This window comes from Homo sapiens, chromosome 2, assembly GCF_000001405.40.
Source record: "Homo sapiens chromosome 2, GRCh38.p14 Primary Assembly".
Classification (NCBI taxonomy): Eukaryota; Metazoa; Chordata; class Mammalia; order Primates; family Hominidae; genus Homo; species Homo sapiens.
The window spans coordinates 231,380,622-231,401,270 of record NC_000002.12 but is presented as its reverse complement, the minus strand read 5'-3'; the positions used below and the strand labels follow the sequence as shown (position 1 = coordinate 231,401,270).

Below are 20,649 nucleotides of genomic sequence, written 5' to 3'. Positions count from 1 at the left end.
CCGCCTAAGGGGCCGCCTCGACCGTCCGTCAATTACCTCGCTTCCCGGTCAGGGAACCAAGAAATGTAGCAGGATGAGTCCCAGACAAAACTCCTCAGACACCGGATTAAAGAAGGAAGAGGTTTTTATTCGGCCGGGAGCGTCGGCAGACTCGCGTCTTAAGAGCCGAGCTCCCCGAAAAAGAAATTCCTAGCCCTTTTAAGAGCTTACAACTCTAAGGGGTCCACGTGAAAGGGTCATAATAGATCAAGTAAGCGTGAGGAACGTGACTGGGGGCTACACACATCAGCTAATAGGACAAAAAGTTTTACGGTGCTTTCTCACACAATGTCTGGGATTTACAGATAACACCAGTCGTTTTGGTCAGGGGTTAATATTATTATCATTTTAACCACCAGGGCCAGGTGGTGGCGCCAAGGTCGTCTAGCTATTTATCTTACTTCTGTTTCTTTCCAGCTTTTTGCTTTCTCCCTTTTCTCCTGTCTTATAAACTAGGGAAAAGGGGAGGTTGGGGAGAAGCTGGGAAGGACAACAGGAGAAGTGGTGGTCTCATTCCATAGCAGTAGCGCTGTCCCCTTTTCCTTCCTGGGCATCTGAACCCCCTGGGATTCCCCTGAGCTGGGTGCAGGCACGGAGCTGCTGGCTGGCTTGCTCATACTGCTGTCTGAGTGACTCTTCTCCTGGGGGTAGCTCCCTCCCCACCCTGGAGGTCAGCAGCTTGGGCCAAGGTCCCTGGCACAGGGCCATAAGCTATTTCAGTGCTTTCAGGTTGCCTGGAAGGGATGTCAGGGAGCCCACCGGCCTCTGTACGGCCGACCTAATCTCACCCACTGAAACATTAGCCTCGGGGCCAACTCTGGCCTCACCCTTGGCAGGGACAGGAAGGCACTGGCTCACGCTAGAGCCACAGCTCGGCTGTCCACCAGGGCACAGTCAAGGGCTGGGTGCATTGCTAGCTCCCAGGTTTTTCTGTTGCCGTACTCCCATCCCCACTTTAATCCTAGCACTCAGCCCCGTCTAAATCCCTTCCAGAAGTCCTTGTGCACCCACCAGCCAAGAACAAGGAACAAGCTGTGTCTTCAGAAATCTCTGGCAACCTTGGCCCCAGACAGGCTCTCTGATGCAGCTGGGAACAGGAAGTTTCACACCAAAAAAAAAAAAAAAAAAAAAAAAAAGTCCCATTTTATTGAGAAAATAGTGTCAATCCCTCCATCTTTCCTAGGTGACTCCCGCTGAGGTAGGAGGTGGCAACCTTCTGCACCCACCCCCACAGCTGATCCATCCCTTCACCGGGGCAGATGCTGGTCTGCTAGGCCCTGGAGAAGCAGGGTGCGGTGGGGCAGGGCTCTGGAGGGGGCTGGGCTGTGAGGGGCCTGGGGGTGCTGAGGGCAGGCAGCTGGAATGAGGGGAGGGAAGGGAGGAGGGCCAGGGAGGACACCACCCCCTCCTGAAGCCTGGAGCCTTCTCCCTCCAAATTCTTCATAAATAAAACTTCACAGTAATAGAGGAATGTCCACTTCCAGGGCCAAACCGGCTGCTTTCCAGCCAGGGAGCCAGGCCTGGGGGTGTGGGGGCTGCGGGAGAGACTTGCCTGGGGTGGGGGTCAGCAGCTCTGGGACTTCGGGGGGCCAGGAGCGCTGCTCTTCTGCCCTGTGTCGGGGTGGGGTAGGGCTGCAGCCCCAGGGAGATTCTGAGGGGCGCTGAGGTAGTCAGAGCGGTCGCCCTTCCAGACCTTACAGGACACAGCCAGGAGTGGAGGCCCTGTGGCAGAGGCGGCCCGTCTCCAGGCAGGCCTGGGGCTGCGGAGAGCCGGCTGGGCCCTCTCTCCCAGGAGACCAGGGTGTGGACTGGGGGGTGCCTGTGAGCCCGCACAGGGTTGAGTTTCTCCTGCCAGGGCCGCCCGGCCTCTGGGGAGACTGAGGCATTTCACAGAAGACTCTTCCCTGTGAAGACGAGGGGCGGCCACAGACCCATCAGGCCAGGCCTAGCCCAGGTACCTGAGCACAGCGTTCCTCCAGAGGTCACCAGGACCTCCCACCACATCTGAGGGGGCCAGCAACGGACCCAGGTCAGGAGGGCTGCCAGGGCCTGGCGCCTCGCTCCTCAGAGAGGGCCTCCAGACTGGGCAGCTCCAACCGTTCCTGGGCCTCAGTTTCCTAGAATTATCCACACAGGGAGGTCCCTTTCTGGCTACCTGCACCCCACCACACCCAGTGGCACGTAGGCCTCAACCCTCCACCTCCCCTTGGGGACCAAAGGCTAGGCCTGGGCACTGTGGCTCCAGCCCCAATACCATGGGGGCTCAGGAGCAAGTGCCCTGGCCTGTCCTAGTAGCCCGGCTGGGGTCAGAGCACCTGGAGCTTGCGGGAGCAGGTGAGATTGCTGTGCACCAGCCCCCACATGGCGAGCAGCTCAGGGGGCAGCAGCTTGTGCACCACGAGCATGGCGCGGAAAAAGCACGGCTCCTTGTTCATGCGGCTGTTGCGGTTCCGGGAGATGCCGAAAGTCTTGAAGCCCTCGTGGGCCGTGGGCTGCACGCCCAGCACCTCCAGGCACATGCCCAGAAAGACGTCGTCGATCGGGTAGAGCTCCAGGGTGTCGCAGGCATGGTGCAGGCGCCGGGCCAGGCTGCCGGCCATGAGGAAGCCACCGCCGCCTGCATACGGCGGATAGCTGGCCTTGCCGTACAGGGCCCCCGGGATGTAGTATTTGTTGTCTTTCCTGCGAATGGGCCGAGCGTGCTGCAGGACATCGCCCACGAACAGGTTTTCCTGTGGCTGCCGGTCAGCCAGAAATTCTAGCAGGTTGGTGGGGTTGACGAAGACGTCATCGTCGCCTTTGAAAATGAAGGGGACGTGGGGGCAGTAGATGTCCAGCCACTTGAGGAAGTGGATCTCCTTGAGGGTCAGGTTGAAGAAGGTGTCGAGAAAGCCCCACTGCAGGATGTCGCCGTAGAGGCGGTCTTCGTAGGCCAGCAGCTGCTGGTAGTGCGTGCGCTCCTCCTGCTTGGAGGCCGTGCCCAGCAGGAAGAGGGTGCGCACGGCGCCTCGGCCCCCACCCGCGGACTGCCGCTCGCGGCCCCAGGTCTGGCGGATGGCCTCGCGGCGGTCGTGCTGCGTGATGACCGACTTGACAACCACCAGCAGGTAGACATCGCCCCTGCACTTCTCCGGGTGGTTCAGCAGCATGGGGAAGTAGCGGCAGTGGCGGTAGAAGAGAAACTGCCGGAACTGCGGCTCCAGGACCTGGAACCAGGGCTGGTGGGTCAAGTTGATATTGGCTGAGCAGTTAGTGGTGGTCACGTCCCAGGCCTGGGGCCCCTGAGAGGCCATGGGCGTGGGCGCAGCCACATCTTTCGGGTTCTTCCAGAAGTTGTTGGGGTTCACCAGCTGTCCATTTGGCTTCTGGGCCTTCTGTGGCTCCAGGGTGGGTGGCGGAGGCTCCTGCAGAAACTGACCAGGGGTGAGACTGCGTTGGAACACCGTCACGGCCACGAGCAGGGCCAGGGCCAGGCACAGACTCCGGTAGACGGTTTTCTTCCTGTGGGGGAGAGCGGACAGTACAGAGGAGAGAGAAAAGATGAGCCCAGGGCTCTCCTGGCGCCCCCCTTGGGAGGCTGGGTGGTCCCAGACGGGCAAGTGGACCTGGGCACAGGCTCAGTCCCGGAGTCCCTAAGCTGTCAGGGTAGGGTCCCGCTTCCTCTCCCACCCTGCCCTTTCTTTCTCCCACCCTGCCCTCTCCTCAAGGAGCACTGTGGAATCAGGCCCTGACGCTTACAAGCTGAATGAGTGGTTTACAACCACTCTGAGCCACGATTTCTTCTTCCCCCAAATGGGGCTAAAACACAGGATTGGAGTGCTATATAAAGTACCAGGCAGCGGGTGCACAGTTAGGGGAATGCTGTCACCTTAACAGGAGGGCCTCAGGTGGAAACCTCTGCCCTGTTCCCCACGCCTGGAACCCCAATGCCTTTCATTTCCCTGCGGTGTACCTACCCACAGCAGTAGGTATCGGTATCATTAGGTGACTCAGAGCCAGAGTCATTGAGAGGGCACCCTCTGATCCTCTGTGCCGCCCGGGAGCTCCATCACATGTGGGGCACATTGGAGAGTGGCTCGAGCTTGGGACCTGAGGAAGACTGGCCCTCCTCCCCCTTCTCCAGTCTGTCTCACCCAACAAAGAGCAGCCCTCATGGTTGATGGAGGCCCAAGGATGCAGTGAGCACCTCTAGCATGGCACTGCCCCTCACCCCTACCTTAACATCCCCAGCTCATAACACCCCATTAGAAGACATGAGGCTACAGCTCTACTCCCTGGGAGGGGGCACATTTGCAGCTCCAGCCCTTGAGGGACCCTTCTTGCCCAGAGACCCCCCCACCCCAACCCCGGTCCACACCCATTTCGGAAGCAGAAATTAGAGCTCTCTGCCAGGAGTGCTGGTCGTCCCAAGCCCTGGGGCCTGAGCCCCTGTCCTGAAGGACCTCCTCTCTTCATCTCACCCTCCGGGGGCTGCCAGGACACCTGCCCCACCCTCCCCAGTGGAGACCTGGGGGCTGAGAGCTCTGGGGACAGCAGAGTGGCCTTCCAGGGCCAGCCTAGCAGAGAGATGGCGCTGACCTCCAAGGGGGAGGAGCAGGGTGCCAGGAGAGACAGGCAGCCCGTGGAGACGCCTGGGTTGCCCTGAGGGCTGGTCCGGTTGCAGGTCCAGGCCCCAGGGTGAATGCAGGCTGAGCCCCATAGAGCGACATTTTCCCCATAGGGTCCCCAGGTTGCTGGGGCATGTGGTTGGAGGAAGACAGGGGCACCTTAGGTGCAGGCTGGGGGGTGTGACCCAAGGTCCAGCTCTCCGGGGAGGAAACGGAGGGCTCCGGATCCGGCCCTGCCAGCCCTAGGGGTTCCAGGGAAGCCGCCCACCGAGGCCGGGACGGGGGAGGTCGGGGGGTGCACCGGGAAGGCGGCGAGGCCCTGGGCTGCGGGCGCTCCACCTGCCGGGTCCGCTCCATTCGTAGGGAAAGCCCGGGAGGGGCGGAGAGGGGCCGGGCGGGCGGCGGTCCGAGGTCCCGCGGAAGGAAGCCCCGAGAGGAGGAGAGTGGCCCGGACGCAGGGGGCCCTCAGGGGTCTGGAAGGGAGAGGGGACCCAGCTGCCGGCAAGACCTGGGGTCCCAGCCGCCAGGGTCCTGGAGCGGTGTCCAGGGCCGCGGGGCCGGGGAGCTGAGCGCGGCGCCCCGAGACCCCTCGACGTCCCCCACGGGTCCGGGGCCGCGTACCGCGAACATCTCCCGCCGCCGCCGCCGCGCCCGCCCGCCCATCCGCCCCCGGGAAACTGAGGCCGGCGCGGCGCGCGCGGGGGCATCTCCTATCCCGGGAGTCCCGGCGCCCGTCTGTGGCCACGGAGGAGGGGGAGCCCCGGGCCCACGCCCCCGCCCAGGCCCCCGACGGCCCCCAGCCCCACTCACCACAGCGACATGGCGGCCCGGGCCGGAGCGGCGGAGGGGCGAGCGGCTCGCAGCTCTGGGCGCCACGGCTCGGGCCGGCGGGACGGCGGGCGGGTGGGGACGGAGACCGGGCCGCGCCCCCGCCGCGACTTTCCTCTTCCCGGCCGCGGGAGGAGGGGCCGGCAGGGGCGGTGGCCCAGGTGCCTTAACCCCTTCGGCGCCCAGGGCCCGCCCCGCCGCCGCCTGGCGGGGACCACCCCATTTCTCCGAGACGGCCCCTAGGCTCCCCAAGCGCGCCTAGTAGACAGTGCATGGCCGAGGCGGGGCTTCGGAACCCACGGGGGTCACCTCCAATCCCGGGGACGCCTGTCCCTGGCGGAGCCTCCCGGGGCGGGGGGAGGGCGGTCGCCGGTCCCTCCTGTACTTGTGCGAAACCTGAACACCCGGTCCCCTCCAAGACCCTGGGGCACCCCAAGGCCCAGCCATTTCCCTCTGGCCCCATTCGGACTTGTCTTTGGGGCCAGAGGCAGACAGGGTGTCCTTTTCTCCCTCTGCTACCTTCTGCCCCTGCACCTTTCCCCTGACCAGACGGACCCCTTGCCCAGCTGTTGGGCTACCTAGGGCCAGGAGCAAAGCCAGCCACTAGGGAAAGAGGCCGTATGAGACTGGGCTCCATGTCAGGACTCGCCCAGGCCTGTGGCTCTGGAAGCTTTTTTTGTGCCCCCACCATGTCCCTCTCTTCACCTCTGGGGTTCCTCCCACCTCTGAGGGCTCCCCACCACCAAGGGAAGGCCTGTTGGCCCAGCCCTATCTCCTTTCTTTTTTCACTTATCACTCAAAACCCTTTTTGTCCTCAAGCCTTTATTAGTCTGCTTGTGCACATCAGGCCTAGCGGCTCTGGGGAGTGGGCTGACAGAGAACACGGAGAGGGCTTGGTCCAGCCAGGTGACTTCCAGAATCCTCCAGCAGGGAGAGCCATCGCTGGTCCTGTTGTTGCTCAGGTTGTTCTGGTCTTGTTCCGGGTTGAGGTTTCGGTGCTTAGCATCCAGCAGGACCTCCAAAAGGCCCACAGAATTGAAACGGAAGCACGTTGTGGTCCAATCATAACAGCTAACGTCCACTGAGCAGCTACAATATGCCAAACCTGGTTCTCGGCCCATGCATGACTGGCTCACTTAATCCTAGAGACATACGCTATTATTCCCACCTTACAGGGGAGGAAACGGGGGTGCAGAGGGGAACTCCCAGCCAGCTCAGAGAACAGCGAGCCCAGAGTTAGTAAGCACATCCAGGAGGCCTGCATGGCCTGAAGGCTGGCTCTGAACCCTTCCTGCCTGGTCTGAAGGCTGGCTCTGAGCCCTTCCTCAACCTTTTTTCCTTTCCCAGGGACAGCAGTGACATGGAGCTACTTTCCTGCCCAGCACACAGGGAGGCTAGGAGTCCTCAGCTGGATCTTAAGCCCTCGAGGCCAGGGTGAGGAGCCCCTTCTGCCCTATCCTTAAGGTTCAAGGGCCCTTTGGAGGGGGAGGAGAAACTTAAGGTACCATAGAATGTTCTGGAATGTTGTAAGTGCCAATTAGGGAATGTGAAGGGCCTTTCAGGCAGAATTTCAGAGGAGTATCTTGGGGCTGATGTCCTTTGTAATGGCCCTCCAAAAGTTCCAGAGCAGGGGAGGGGCTGACCTGCAGCCCAAAGCCCCTGTTGGCCTGGCTGCCTGCCACTGAGGGCCACCCGCAGATTCTGCAGCTCCACGGCTCCCTTCATCCCAGTGTAGCCTTGGCCACCGGTTCCCGCAGGGCACCAAGCATTTTGCTCCACTGCCCAGCCTTCCGAGTTCCCCACTTCACCCTGCAAGTGTGGCCCTGGCTTCCCTGGCTCCACACAGGTGCCCTGCTGAGAGCTGCCTCCCTGGCTTCAGCACTGACCTCTCACCCGGTGCTGTGGGGTCTCCTCCTCCTGCTGAGGGGTGGACACAGCCGTCCCTGGGAAGGGGGTTTTGAGCCCATGTTTGGGGATGGCAGGCATGGGCGTTGGGTCAGAGTCTTGCACTTCCTGGTTGTCACTGGGGGCAGGTGGCTTTTCCCCTTGAGACCTCAATTTCCTGCCAGCTCAGGGCCTTGTGAGATGACGCCAATGAAGCACAGACATAGGCATCCCCTATGTAAAGAACTTGGTGGCAGGCCGGCTACTGTTAGTGTTATCATTGATGTCCAGCTACTCCACAAAGCCCCAGAAGCACAAGGGCCAGAGGAGGTGGGAGCAGAGGGAGCTGCCCAAGGTCAGCGGAGTGTTTGCCAGTGGAATCTGGTCAGTTGAGACAGGCAGTTTGTCATCATGGAATCATTTGATCTGTGCCTAGTTTGAATTCAGAGAGGGGAAATGAATGACAATTAAATGCGAGTCCCTGATGGTGGGGTGGGGGTGGGGAGTGTGGAGCCGGGCCAGGCTCGGGTCAGCCTCCCCTGTTACTCCAATGTGCTCCCCTGTGGGGCAGCTGGGCCAGTCCCTATGGCAAGCACAGTGGTCCCCCCACCGCCAATCTGGCCAGTTCCACCTGCCCCAGCCAGAGGGCAGAGCCCCAGCAGATTCCTGTGGATTTAAGCGAGGCCCTGAGGAAGGCAGGCCTGTCTGCGATGGGATCTGCCTACCTGCTGTCCCCAACCCTGGCTGAAGGCAGAGCCCAGAGGTAGAGGGAAGTTCCAGAGTGGCAGATACCAGGAGAAGAGGGTGGGTGACGGATGAGCTGGCTGCATAGGCTGCAGGAGTCCCAAGCCAAGGTGGAGGTGGGTTCTGTGTCCTTGTCACAAGGCCACTCTGTGCACCTCAGGTTGCTCCCTTGGAGGGGGAAGCTCGTGAGCCAGGACGTTGGAGGACCCCAAGAAATGCCCCCTTCCCCAGTACATCTTTTGGCCCCTCAGCCCATCCCTACCTCCACCTCCACTTTCTTTTATATCCCACCCCTTCAACCTTCCAGAATAGGTTGGAATCCGACCCTGCTGGTAACCCCAGCACAGGCCTTTGCCCAGAGGCGAGGGCTGCAGAGACCCAAGGGTGGGAGTATCTGACTGGCCAGAAAACACACTGGGTCAGTGGCTTGACTGGACAAGGTGGGGGCCAACTTGGGTCAGAGGGACCCCCAAAGCAGAAGGTGAGGAGTCTTGCGTGCCTTGCAGAGAGGTGGCCATCGTGGGGCGAGAGCGCGGAGCCCAGCAGGGGCCACGGGCAGGCAGCTATGCTGGCTGTAATCGCCTCAGTGCTGCTGTGATTTTGTGAGCGTGTGAGTTAAACTTAGTTGGTGTTTTTGAAAGACCCTGAGCAGCAGTCTACACTCCAGGGGCAGCCACAGCCAGCACTTCAAATGTGGTTGTCTACTGTCACAGCAGAGGGTCTGTACATTAACACGGGAGGGTCGGAAATCATTGTTCTGTAGTAAAAAGAGTGTTGCTGAAGATGTGTGCCTGGGAAGAGGCACCGCAAGTCCCCTCTGCCTGTGCCTGGGCAAGTCCAGCCACCAGCAGGGCAGTGCCCCGGGTCTAGAACTTTCTCTGAGTGGTTCTGGGCCCCCGCAGGTGGTGCTCTGACTGGAGGTTAGCTAGTCATGGTGAGCATGTCCTTGAATTCACCCTGACAAAAGCTGTTGTGACAGGACAGAGTGAGACTTCCCTGAGCTTGTGGGCAGGGGCAGGGTGTCTGTTTCTGTGCTTCGTGCTAACAGATGTTTCCAGTAGGGTAGCCGTTGGGTCTGAGAGTTGATTTCATTATAATATGCCACCCGATGGGGAAGGGTGGGGTGAGACCTACGCTTTCTCAACTACCTCTGGTCCTTGAAGGCCACCAATATCCTCTGCAGAGAACCTGACCCATCCTGCAGGGCAGTGCAGGAGGGACCTCAAGGCTGCTGAGTCAAGGGGCTCACTACCCAGACAAGCACTGGGGGAGTGCCCCCAGGTAAACTGATGTCTCCCAGAAATGGCTCCTGTGTGAAGCCAAGGCAGTGTGTGGATCTAGGGCAGGAAGGGAAGTAGGGATGGAAAATGAAAAGGGAGAACACATTTCCCTGGGGGACAGGTCTTCCTTTGAAGGGGTGGGAGGAGGAGAAGGCCAGGATGGAGCAAGCAGCGAGGTAGGAGGAGATGACCGTGTCTTCAAGGTGTGGGTGGTCTGGAGTCTGGGAACTCCCCTTGCCCAAGGGAAGACTGGGCCAGAAAGAAGCCCAGATCACAAGGCGTTGAACTGAAACAGGAAGAAGTTTAAAGAGGCTGCATGTGGCCGGGCATGGTGGCTCAGGCCTGTAATCCCAGCACTTTGGGAGGCTGAGGCGGGCAGATCACTTGAGGTCAGGAGTTCAAGACCAGCCTGATCAACATGGTGAAACTCCGTTTCTACTAAAATATAAAAATTAGCTGGGCGTGGTGGCGGGTGCCTGTAATCCCAACTACTTGGGAGGCTGAGGCAGGAGAATCACTTGAACCCAGGAGGCGGAGCTTGCAGTGAGCCGAGATTGTGCCACTGCACTCCAGCCTGGGCGACAGAGTGAGAGACTCCATCTTAAAAAAAAAAAAAAAAAAAAAAGGCTGCAAGCAGGGCTCTCATAGAAGCAGCATGCCAGGCAGCATCCTGCTGCGGGGAACCCTGAGGTGCCCTTCCATGGCCCAGTCCTGCCCAATAAAGCCAAGCCCAACAACCAGGAAGACACCTTGCCCTCCCAGAGGAGGTGCTTCTTACCAATTCCAGAGCCTGCATGCAAGGATGCTGCCTAGGAGACTGTAATTTCCCAGAGATTCCCAGTGATTCTCAAAGTGTAGGCAGGTTTGGGAACCACCGGTTTTCAGCCCTCCAATCCCTGCTCTCTTGGTGGGCCTTGAGCCAGGGCCAGAGGAGGGCCACTGCGTCATTGAACCTGGGCAGGAGGAGGACAGAATGGGGAAGCGGCAATGGAAGCAATTGGGGCCAGAAAGGAACGAGTTAAGGAAGTTAAAATTTCCCACTGAAATAGGTGGCAGTTGAGGAAGCAGAAGTGGGTTTAGAGCTTGAGGAATGGAAGAGGGTGTCCACAGCCTCTGTGCAGGATCTGAGAAGGCCAGGGAGGAACGATGAGGCATGTCGAGGGCCAGGCAAAGGTGCTCCCTGGAAACCCAGCTGTGTGGTTCCAGGCACGGATCGCTCAGGGCTCCTCTGGTTGTGAGAGACAGCAGCCCGACCCAAGGTGGCTCCAGCCAGAGGGATTTGTTGGCTCATATAACAGGATCCCCTCTCCCTCCACAGCCTCTCTCTCTGGACAGTTGCCCAGCCCCTAGCTCTTCCCTAAGGTCTGCGGACTTCTTCATGAAGAGCAGGAGAAACACAGGCTCGCAAATGGGCTGAGGCATTTGTCACCTCATCTCAGGGACCTCAGAGAAAAGAGAGGTTTTTCCCTGTCTCGGCCTCCATATACAGATGTCTAGGGAAGGACTCTCACTAGTCTCACTTCAGTCATGTCCCCAACCTAGGCCAATGATCACGTTGCGGGGGGGCGGGGGTACCACAGTGGGCCAGGCCTGGGTTATGCATTCCCTTCTGTGGTTGGGACAAGTCCTGAGATTTGCAGCCCCATGAGAACAGCCTGGAGTGGGCAGATCCGTCAAAGGAAGCTGCTGTTATCAAGAAAACCTGGTTCCAGAGGCTCACTCAGCAGCTGCAGAGATGCCTGGGCCTGGTCTCCCACTCATGCCAAGCCCCTGGGACTCTCAGATCATCCAAAACAGAGCCCTAGATGAGAGTCCCAGAAGGCTGGAGAATCAGGTGAGAGGTGCTGGGAAATGCCTCCACATGTGCTCCTGATCAGCCCTTCTTTCTGGGGTGGGGAGGAGCCGCAGGCTGGCCAGTGGAGGGAGGACGCAGCTCCTTCTGGGGCTGGGCAGCTCTCTGGACCCTTTCCTGTGCCCAGGCACCCATTGGCTGCTCTGAGCTTTTTGGGTTTGGGACCCAGGAAAGTCAGGGTGGAGCTGGGCAGCCAGAGAGAGAAGCTGGAGTTCAAAGATGCCCAGGAACTGGAAGCCCAGCAAAGAGGGCTCAGAAGGCAAAGAAGAAGTGGAGCAGCGCGCCCCGGACACAGGGCGGCGGGGCTGCACCTAGGCTGCTGTCGGCAGGGGCGTTGGTGGGCACACATAGACACACACTCTCACAAACACACGCACAGAAACACGCAGGCATACGTGTGAACCCAGACGCATGAACACACACACTCAGGGACATGCATACACATACAGACACACACGCATATTTGGAGAGACACAAACCATGCCTATACACATAGAGGTCAGATACACAGACATGCATGTAACCCTCACACACCTGAGATACATGCACACTTGGTAAAAAACACACACACACACACACACCCATCCACACACAGCCAGAGACGTACACACACACACACCATGTCCATGGCCTTTCCCAGGTGGAAGGGGCCTCCCTGAGCCAGCTCATCTGTTACCAGTGAAACTCTGCCTGGTAGGCCCTTGGGAAGGGGCTGAGGACCAGGCAGGGCCCTGTTACATCCGTGAGCAGCCCTTGTGATCTTTGCCCAAGTTCTCAAGTCTGTGCCTCCCATCACCTTCAGGGCCCTCTGGGCACTGTCCACAAACCCTTAACACCACCCGCATCTGCCCCCAACCTCAATCCAGCAACCCTGGTCTCCGTTCACTCAGATCCCAGCCTTCCTTCTGCTCAAATGTGCTCTCTCCACCCGCCTTTTAGAATCCAGTGAGTTCCTGCTCATCTTTCAAAACCCACCTCAAATGCCCCCTCCCTTGGAGCAGGCGCTCCCTCCTTGGCTGGCGTTCCCCTGCACGAGCCTCCTCTGTCTGTCCCTCCTCCACCTGTCCCACCACACGGGGCACCACTAAGAGCAGGGACCGGCCTTTCCGTTTTCCTGGTGGGCAGCACGCAGAAGGGCGGGGCTGATGCCCACTGGCTGAGCAACTACGGGACCACATCGCCAGCATGGCAGCCTGGAGACCTGGGCAGGGAGGAGGGGCAGCCATATTCAGAGGGCAATGGGGTGTGCCCACCCCAGGGAGCCTGGGGCGGCTTGGCCAGATGTGCAGAGCCTCAGCCCCACCCCCAGCACATACTGCCACATATTCACCCGCGGTGGGCATTGTGCCCCTCGCCCTGGACAGCTGGGCCCAGGCAGCACCCTCCCCCAGGCCACCATGACTCACATCCCGCCCACCGGGCGGCCAGCCTGGGTACACACAGCCTCCTTTCAGCCCCTCAGCCCCAAACACTAGCTTAGTCTTCCCTCTCGGGCGCCTCCCCTCCTGAGCTGGCAGCTCAGCCCCACGCTGAGGCCACACGGAGGCCTGCTTCCTCTCCGGAGCACAGGGCTCCCTGTCTCTCGTCACCCGGCTGCCGTCCAAGCTGGCCCTGAATGGCTGCCTTTTCATGGAGCAGAGCCTGACCAGGTGCAGGCTGGGCAGCCCTGCTCCCACTAGGCCCGCCAGATCTCTCTGCCCGTGGCTCTGCTGCCCTGGGAGAGAGGTGGGCTGGAGAGCTGGAGGGCTCCAGAAGTCCTTCCCAGGCTCTGGCCAAAGGCCTCCTCACACACGCGAAGCCTCCTCTTCACACACACCCTCCTCTCTGCTTCCCCAGCAGCCCTACAGCCTGGCCAGGCACAGATTCTTGTTAGTCCCATTTTACAGAGAAGGAAACTGAGGCAGGTGGGTGGTGGGGCTGGGACTTGGTGCCATTAGAGTAGCGTTAATAATGCAACCCGGCCAGGCGTGGCGGCTCACGCCTGTAATCCCAGCACTTTGGGAGACGGAGGCAGGAGGATCACTTGAGCTCAGGAGCTCAAGACCAGCCTGGGCAACACAGTGAGACCCCCGTCTCTACAAAAATTTAAAAATTAGCAGGGTGTGGTGGTGCGTGCCTGTGGTTTTGGAGGCTGAGGCTGAGGTGAGAGGAGGCTGAGGCTGAGGCGAGCCTGGGAAATTGAGGCTGCAGTGAGCCATGACTGCACCACTGCTTCCCAGCATAAATGATAATAAATAATATTATTATTATATATTTTCTAAAAAAAATAATAATAATAGTGTGACCTCCCAGGGTTGCAGTGAAGCACTAAGGCAGCAGCCTCCCTGAGCCCCACTAGCAGGGTCCACAGGTGGCCCCCTATGATGATAATCACAACATCATTTCTGGCTTTGTAGCTAGCACCTGTCTCCATCTTTTAGTAGAGACCTCACTCCTCTAGTCTCAGGGGTGGCCTCTTGGCCAGGTTGGACCAGTCATGGTACCTTATACCCCTTGCACCCCAACAATGTGCTTGGTCCAAGGGATGGGCCTGTGACCCGAGCTGGGTCAATCAAGGCCCTTCCCTGGGGATTTTCAAAGGGCACTGGTCTCTGATCATCAGGGTTTTTAAGGTGTGACTCTGAATATATTGGGGAAATATTGTGCTGTGCACCCCAGGCCCCTTCACTGCAGGGAAAAGACTAAAACAACACGCAAAGCAAAACAGAGAAACCAGAGTCTGAACAGGGCTGGAATCCTGGTTTCGAGGCCCTGCAGTGGGCAAATGAATGCTCTTTCCCCAAAGATATCCATACCCTTGTCCCTGGAACCTGGGACTATGTTAGGTCACAGGGAAAAAAGGGCCTTTGCAGATGTAATTAAGGTCATGGACCTTAAAACAGAAAAATTATCTTGGATTATCTGGGGTGGTCCAATCTAATCACACGAGTCCATAAAAGCAAGGAACTGTCGCTGGCTGCAAGCAGAGGTGATGCAGCAGAAGAGAAAGTTAGAGATTCTGCGCATGAGATGGCTTTGGCCTCCTTTACTGGACCCATATTTGGTCCAGAGACTCCAGAGGGGTCCTTGAGGAGCCAAGGACAGCCCTGGCTGACACCAGCCAGGAAACAGGAACCTCAGTCCCACACCCTTGAGGAACTGGATTCTGCCCATGCTCTGATGAGCCTAGACCCAAGAGCTTCCTGAGCCTCCCAGTAAAGCCCCGGTGGCTGACAGACACCTTGATTCCAACCTTATAAAATTCTGAGCTGAGAACTAACTGAGCCGGCCTGGACTTCTGACCTGCAGAAACTGTGAGATGGTCAGTGTGAGCTGTTTTAAGCCACTATGTTTGTGTGGCAATTTAGGTGCTACCCTGCCTCCCCTGGTTTGGTTACAGGAGCCAATAATTTTTCATTTGTGGTTTTGGTCACTCATGACTAAAGATTCCAGACTGATGCTGTTATTGTGATCTGTCTCCCACAAACGGCTTGCCCTAGCAGATGGGGAGGAGACAGGGGCACCAGAACATGGGGAAACTTTTGGTGGGGGGCAGCAAAGACTGTGAGAATGACAAGTCTTCTTGAGCATCAGAGCTTGCTTTCTTTTTTTTCTTTTTGAGACATGGTCTCACTCTGTTGCCCAGGCTGGAGTGCAGTGGCACAATCTTGGCTCACTGCAGCCTTGACCTCCTGGGCTCAAGTGATCCTCCCACCTCAGCCTCCCAAGTAGCTGGTACTACAGGCATGCGCCACCACCCCCGGCTACAGAGCTTTCAAAGGTTCTTCTAGAAGACCCAGATCTACCCCTTCCTCACCTAAATAGATGGACCCCTTCCTCCACCCCAGCAGGTCTGGGGTCACTGGGGAGAGAGAGCACACTTGGGAGCCTGAGAGAAGTGACTTGTCTGAGAATGTTCTATGGTGGTTTGGTCAAAGCCTGCAAAGGTTGGCAGGGTCAAAAGACAGAAAATCATGATTCCGAGGAAGATTGGGAGCAATAGGAAAGAAAAGGTTGGTGCCTTTACTACATGCAGAGGTCCCCTACATGGATAGACAAGAAGACCCCAGGAGAGAAATAGGGCAAAGAGTTCACAAAAGAGATGTAAAGCCAGCTTACAAACAAGCAAGCAAGAAATAAAAAGAAGGTAGAAATAAAGAAGGAAGGATGGACAGGAGGAGAGGAGGGAGAGGAAGGAAAGGAGAGAGATGCCACTTGCCACCAATGGCAGGAGAACACAGCATCCAAGCTCCCAAGTTGCACCTCCCTGCCCCAGGCCTGCCTTCGCAGCTGCAGCCTGTCCTGCTCACCTCCTGGGACATCTCAAGGTACTACCAGTGTTTCTTCAGCCCTCTGGAGCCATGTCTCCTCGCACCTCTAGTCTTCCTTCATCTATTGCCAAAGTCCCGTGGCCAGCCTGCCTCAACCTTTGCTCTGCCGGACACAAGCACTGATTGAGCAACAGGGGCATACATGCCTAGGGCCAGGCACTGAAATGGAAACAAACATTTCTTAGATACAACACCAAAAACGTGATTCCTAAAATAAAAAAATTGATAAATTGGACTTCATCAAAATTAAGAACTTCTGCTCTTTGAAAGACATTTGGAAAAGCATGAAAAGACAAACCACAGACTGGGAGAAACTGTTTGCAAAGTACATGTCTGATAAAGGGCTTGTATCAAGAATATGTAAAGAACTCTCAAATGTGATAAATAAGAAATAAACAACCCAATCGAAACATTAGCAAAAGATTTGAACAGACACCTCACCAAAGAAGTCATTTGGATGACAAATACTCCCATGAAAAGTTGCTCAACATCATTAGTCATTAGGGAGACATGAATTAAAACCATAGCGAGAAAGCACTACACACCCATTAGAATGTTTGAATTAGAAAGACTGACCATACCAAGTGTTGGTGAGGATGTGGAGCAACTGGAAGGAATTCTCATACACTTCTGGTGGGAATATAAATTGGTATAACTTTGGAAAACAGTTAGATGGTTTCTTTCTTTCTCTTTTCTTTTCTTTTTTGTAGAGACAGGGTGTCAGTATGTTGCCCAGGCTGGTCTCAAACTTCTGGCCTCAAACGATCCTCCCATCTTGGCCTCTCAAAGTGTTGGAATTACAGGCATGAGCAACTGCACCCTGCCAGGATGGCTTCTTAATAAGTTAAACGTATACTTTTATACGTTTTGAAGAGAAACAAAATGTGTGTCCATACCGAGATGTGTACATGAACGTTCACAGCAGCTTTATTTGTAGTAGGCACATATACCAATTGTGACATATCTGTACAATGGAATACTACTACTAATAAAAAGGTCTAGGCCAGGTGCGATGGTTCACACCTGTAATTCCAGCACTTTGGGAGGCCGAGACAGGTGGGTCACAAGGTCAGGAGATCGAGACTATCCTGGCTAACATGGTGAAACCCCGTCTCTACTAAAAATACAAAAAAATTAGCTGGGCGTGGTAGTGGGCGCCTGTAGTCCCAGCTACTCAGGAGGCTGAGGCAGTCAGAATGGCGTGAACCCAGAAGGCGGAGCTTGTAGTGAGCTGAGATCATGGCACTGCACTCCAGCCTGGGCGACAGAGTGAGACTCCATCTCAAAAAAATAAATAAATAAAAATAAAAATAAATAAATAAATAAAAAGGACTAAATTATTGGTACACACCACAACAGGGATGAATCTCAAAATAATTATTCTGAATGAAAGAAGCCAGTCAAAAAAAGAATATATCTTGTGTGATGAGGTGTCTTCACTGTGGGTGAGGGCAGAGGGGCAGGGGCAGGGGCAGGGCCAGGGCAGCGTGCTGCAGGGTCTTGGGTGTGGAGACAGGGCTGCCAGGCCAGAGCCCCCTGGGTGGGGTATGAACCTCAGCCAAGGCATTGCAGCGCCTGCCTGTCCCCACCCACCTATCTTGCCTTACCTTGTATGTATAAAATTCTAGAAAGTGCAAACTAATCTATCATGACAAGAAATGTCAATTGCCTAAACATGGGGTGAGGTGGGAGGAATTACAAGGGGCCCAGAGGAAACTGTTGGGAGTGACGTTGACTGTGTCGATCTTGATTATGGCGATGATTTTATGGTTGTTTACACACGTCAAAATTCACCACATTGTATACTTTAAACACATAGAGTTGACTGTTGTCAATTATACCTCAATAAAGCTGTTAAAAAGACGTCTGTGACACATGTGCTGCCCTGGGGAGTTTGTGGTTTTTGCAGAAGGCAGAAGCGAGGCCCAGTGGTAGCCACAGCCCGGAGTGACCCCAGCGTGTGGTGAGCTCAGGAAGGGACCCTTGCATTGCGACCAGAAGCTGAGCAACATCGACAGCACCTGGGCTCCTTAGAGTGCAAGCTCTCAGGCCCGCGAGCCCTGCCCAGTGACCCATATGCACATTTAAGTTTGAGCTTGTGCCTGGCCCCGACAGGACACCGTGGGAACAGTCCCAGGCCCTCCCTGCCCTCTCAAAGCAAGGGCCTCACAGTGTGTTCAGTGACAGGGAGGGGAAAGGTCTGAGAGCTGGAGGTGGAGAGGGGCAGGAAGCTGAGGAGTTGAGGTCCCACAAGAGCCTAAAGGTGGCATGCGGTGGCATTGGGAGGAGCAGGCAGGGACCAAGGCATGCAGGGGCTGTAGGCCAGGGGGACGGAGGCAGGAGCCAGGGCTAGGAAAACCCAACTCCGCATCCCATGGGGTCAAGACCTCCCAGAGGGTCCCTCACACACCTCAGCTTAGCACCTACCTTCAGGGCCCTCCCTGGCCCTAGTCCAATCCCCGTCTTGGCTCCCACACCCCCGACTCCCAGCCCGCTGCCTGGCCCTGGTCTTCCTTCCCTCCCCTCCATGCTGAGTTAGGGGAGAGTCTTGGCTTTGCTGCCACTGCGGCTGGAGCCCTTGGCCCCGGCCTAGGACAGGGACTCAGAAATGAGGATCCTCTGCCCAGGAAAGTGATAATGCCATTTTGGCCCAATCGCAGACTAAAATTCGGAACAGCAGTTTGGTCTTGCCCCTGAAATCATATTGGTTTAATGCCAGCTTTAGGCCCATGGCGCCATCTTGCTTCTGGGAATTTATGGAGCCAAAGGCACCAGGACAAGAGGAGGAGCAGAGGCTGGGCCCCTCCTCTCATCTCTGCTTAGACCCTCTCGTCGCTGGGTGGAACCCCTGTGCCCTCTTCTTCTTGGGCTGTCATCCCGCAGGAGTCAGGGCTGGAAGGTTAACGGGAGCCCTGGGTATACGAGCGGGTGGCTGGCAGGAAGAGGGTCACTGATGGGCTGAGATGAGGGTGGGAGAGATTCAGGGCATTTTCAGAGCCAGAGGACCCAGGATTCTGGAGAGTGGAACTGGGATCTATCCTTAACATGGGAGGGTGACATCAGGAGCGGGGGTGGCTACTGATGGTAGATGTTGGAGAACCAACAGAGCAGAAGAGAAAAGCTCAGTGCTGGGTTTGCTGCTGTAAGAGCAGAAGGCCGCTGTAACGGGGACTCAGGGCGTTTGGTGACAGGCCTCGGTGAGAGAACTGGAGCCTGATTCACAGGTGACAGGCGTCAGCTTTTGCTGTGTCTCCATCGCTTTGGAAGGCTATGAGGTTTGATGCCACGTCTGTCTGGCTTGGGGACCTGCTTTGCTCTCTGACCCCTGAGACCAGCCAGAGAGTGGGTGAGGGCAGAGGGGCAGGGCCAGTGCAGCGTGCTGCAGGGTCCTGGGCCTGGAGACAGTGCTGCGAGGCCAGAGCCCCTAGGTGGGGCACGAAGCCCAGTCAAAGCATTGCAGTGCCTGCCTGTCCCCACCCACGGCCACTGGTCATGGAGCCTCATAGTCCAGCAGTAAACTTTCCATTAGCCAAACCACTGTGTGGGAAAAAACTGTGGTGTATTTCACCCCTGGGCCAGATCGAGTTTCTGAGTTTTATTTAACTACAATTATGACCGTGAACTTTTCAGTCCAGTTTGCTGGGCCCACTGCTGCCTGTGCCTGATGGAGACCTTAAAATCCTCAGCACGAACCTTGGGCCTCATGGCCGAGGCTGTGGCCCAGGTATCATCCACCAAAAGAGCCCAGAGCTGAGTCTGGACCTCGAGCCGGGCACTGCCACTGTCACCATCTGTCCCACCTTTAATCTCTGTGCTGAATTCCTTAATCACAGGCCACATCATCCCCTCTTTTGTTCCTTCATCATCTTACATTTATACACGACACCAAGAGAACCCTCACGATTTTGAAATAAAAGTGAAGGTGGAAACTTGTTTTCCTGAGTGGAGCAGAGAGTGGAAGATGGAGTGGAGAAGAGTGGAGGAGACAGTGAAGGAGGGAGTGGAGGATGGAGTGGAGGAGAGAGTGGAGGATGGAGTGGAGGAGAGTGGAGGATGGAGTAAAGGAGGGAGTGGAGGATGGAATGGAAGATGGAGTGGAGGAGAGAGTGAAGGAGGGAGTAGAGGAGACAGTGGAGAATGGAGTGGAGGAGGAAGTGAAGGATGGAGTGGAAGATGGAATGGAGGATGGAGTGGAGGAGGGAGTGGAGGATGGAGGAGGGAGTGCAGCAGGGAGTAGAGACAGTGGAGTATGGAGTGGAGGAGAGAGTGGAGGAGGGAGTGGAGGATGGAGTGGAGGAGGGAGTGGAGGAGACAGTGGAGGAGGGAGTGGAGGAGGGAGTGGAGGAGACAGTGGAGGAGGGAGTGGAGGATGGGGTGGAGGATGGAATGGAGGATGGAGTGGAGGAGGGAGTGGAGGAGGGAGTGGAGGATGGAGTGGAGGAGGGAGTGGAGGATGGAGTGGAGGAGAGAGTGGAGGATGGAGTGGAGGAGACAGTGGAGGATGGAGTGGAGGATGGAGTGGAGGAGGGAGTGGAGGATGGGGTTCAGGATGGAGGATGGAGTGGAGGAGGGAGTGGAGGATTGAGTGGAGGAGACAGTAGAGGATGGAGTGGAGCAGGAGTGGAGGAGGGAGTGGAGGATGGAGTGGAGGAGGGAGTGGAGAGGACGACGGAGTGGAGGAAACAGTGGAGGATGTAGTGGAGGATGGAGTGGAGGAAGGAGTGGAGGAGGACGTGGAGGATGGAGTGGAGGAGAGATGGAGGATGGAGTGGAGAAGAGAGTGGTGGACGGAGTAGAGAGTGGAGGATGGAGTGGAGCCTGGAGTGGTTTTGAACTCAACGAAAGAGGAGTTTGCTCCTAAGCAAACCGAAGGGGCCCAGCCAAATGCTGATTTCCCTGGAAGCACCCGAGCCCTGGGCATCCATCGGCACCTCCCGATGGAAGGGTAAAGGGCCTGTGGAGCGTTGGAGGTGGTTTCATAGTTAAAAATTTAAGGACCGGAGTTACACTGGGCTTGAAGGTGGGTTTTGAAGGAAGATGGGAGCAATGTGGCACACAAAACTCAAGCAGCAATCCCAAGTCTGAGTGACCAGGGTCAGTGTTTA

General features: G+C 57.0%; 1 protein-coding gene across 1 annotated transcript, besides 13 other annotated features; it reads right to left on the bottom strand.

Annotated features, from left to right (window-relative positions):
• B3GNT7 (UDP-GlcNAc:betaGal beta-1,3-N-acetylglucosaminyltransferase 7) lies at nt 107–5,561 on the bottom strand. The gene is made up of 2 exons (NM_145236.3): nt 5,457–5,561; nt 107–3,540 (listed from the first exon to the last, which is right to left on the bottom strand). The coding sequence occupies exons 1-2, from the start codon at nt 5,465–5,467 to the stop codon at nt 2,346–2,348; spliced, it is 1,206 nt and encodes a 401-aa protein (NP_660279.1). The 5' UTR covers nt 5,468–5,561; the 3' UTR covers nt 107–2,345.
• Nucleotides 1,616–2,161: an enhancer, noted in NCBI's record as "H3K4me1 hESC enhancer chr2:232263821-232264366 (GRCh37/hg19 assembly coordinates)". NCBI's record gives its function as "activates a minimal SCP1, AML or CMV promoter by ChIP-STARR-seq in naive H9 embryonic stem cells {active_cell/tissue: H9 hESC(naive)}" and the evidence as "EXISTENCE:reporter gene assay evidence [ECO:0000049][PMID:30033119]".
• Nucleotides 2,162–2,709: an enhancer, noted in NCBI's record as "H3K4me1 hESC enhancer chr2:232263273-232263820 (GRCh37/hg19 assembly coordinates)". NCBI's record gives its function as "activates a minimal SCP1, AML or CMV promoter by ChIP-STARR-seq in naive H9 embryonic stem cells {active_cell/tissue: H9 hESC(naive)}" and the evidence as "EXISTENCE:reporter gene assay evidence [ECO:0000049][PMID:30033119]".
• Nucleotides 2,962–4,161: an enhancer, noted in NCBI's record as "CDK7 strongly-dependent group 2 enhancer chr2:232261821-232263020 (GRCh37/hg19 assembly coordinates)". NCBI's record gives its function as "activates an origin of replication core promoter dependent on BRD2, BRD4, P300/CBP, MED14 and CDK7 cofactors, with strong dependence on CDK7, by STARR-seq in HCT116 cells {active_cell/tissue: HCT116}" and the evidence as "EXISTENCE:reporter gene assay evidence [ECO:0000049][PMID:35650434]".
• Nucleotides 3,950–4,019: an enhancer, noted in NCBI's record as "active region_17283". NCBI's record gives its function as "activates an Ori minimal core promoter by ATAC-STARR-seq in GM12878 lymphoblastoid cells {active_cell/tissue: GM12878}" and the evidence as "EXISTENCE:reporter gene assay evidence [ECO:0000049][PMID:35858748]".
• Nucleotides 5,410–5,879: a silencer, noted in NCBI's record as "silent region_12425". NCBI's record gives its function as "represses an Ori minimal core promoter by ATAC-STARR-seq in GM12878 lymphoblastoid cells {active_cell/tissue: GM12878}" and the evidence as "EXISTENCE:reporter gene assay evidence [ECO:0000049][PMID:35858748]".
• Nucleotides 6,430–6,479: an enhancer, noted in NCBI's record as "active region_17282". NCBI's record gives its function as "activates an Ori minimal core promoter by ATAC-STARR-seq in GM12878 lymphoblastoid cells {active_cell/tissue: GM12878}" and the evidence as "EXISTENCE:reporter gene assay evidence [ECO:0000049][PMID:35858748]".
• Nucleotides 6,775–7,356: an enhancer, noted in NCBI's record as "H3K4me1 hESC enhancer chr2:232258626-232259207 (GRCh37/hg19 assembly coordinates)". NCBI's record gives its function as "activates a minimal SCP1, AML or CMV promoter by ChIP-STARR-seq in primed H9 embryonic stem cells {active_cell/tissue: H9 hESC(primed)}" and the evidence as "EXISTENCE:reporter gene assay evidence [ECO:0000049][PMID:30033119]".
• Nucleotides 7,357–7,939: an enhancer, noted in NCBI's record as "H3K4me1 hESC enhancer chr2:232258043-232258625 (GRCh37/hg19 assembly coordinates)". NCBI's record gives its function as "activates a minimal SCP1, AML or CMV promoter by ChIP-STARR-seq in primed H9 embryonic stem cells {active_cell/tissue: H9 hESC(primed)}" and the evidence as "EXISTENCE:reporter gene assay evidence [ECO:0000049][PMID:30033119]".
• Nucleotides 8,523–9,106: an enhancer, noted in NCBI's record as "H3K4me1 hESC enhancer chr2:232256876-232257459 (GRCh37/hg19 assembly coordinates)". NCBI's record gives its function as "activates a minimal SCP1, AML or CMV promoter by ChIP-STARR-seq in primed H9 embryonic stem cells {active_cell/tissue: H9 hESC(primed)}" and the evidence as "EXISTENCE:reporter gene assay evidence [ECO:0000049][PMID:30033119]".
• Nucleotides 9,590–9,749: an enhancer, noted in NCBI's record as "active region_17281". NCBI's record gives its function as "activates an Ori minimal core promoter by ATAC-STARR-seq in GM12878 lymphoblastoid cells {active_cell/tissue: GM12878}" and the evidence as "EXISTENCE:reporter gene assay evidence [ECO:0000049][PMID:35858748]".
• Nucleotides 12,539–12,833: a silencer, noted in NCBI's record as "tiled region #14998; K562 Repressive non-DNase unmatched - State 7:EnhWF". NCBI's record gives its function as "represses a minimal TATA promoter and a strong SV40 promoter by Sharpr-MPRA in K562 cells {active_cell/tissue: K562}" and the evidence as "EXISTENCE:reporter gene assay evidence [ECO:0000049][PMID:27701403]".
• Nucleotides 12,539–13,134: a biological region, named in NCBI's record as "Sharpr-MPRA regulatory region 14998".
• Nucleotides 12,594–13,134: an enhancer, noted in NCBI's record as "H3K27ac-H3K4me1 hESC enhancer chr2:232252848-232253388 (GRCh37/hg19 assembly coordinates)". NCBI's record gives its function as "activates a minimal SCP1, AML or CMV promoter by ChIP-STARR-seq in naive H9 embryonic stem cells {active_cell/tissue: H9 hESC(naive)}" and the evidence as "EXISTENCE:reporter gene assay evidence [ECO:0000049][PMID:30033119]".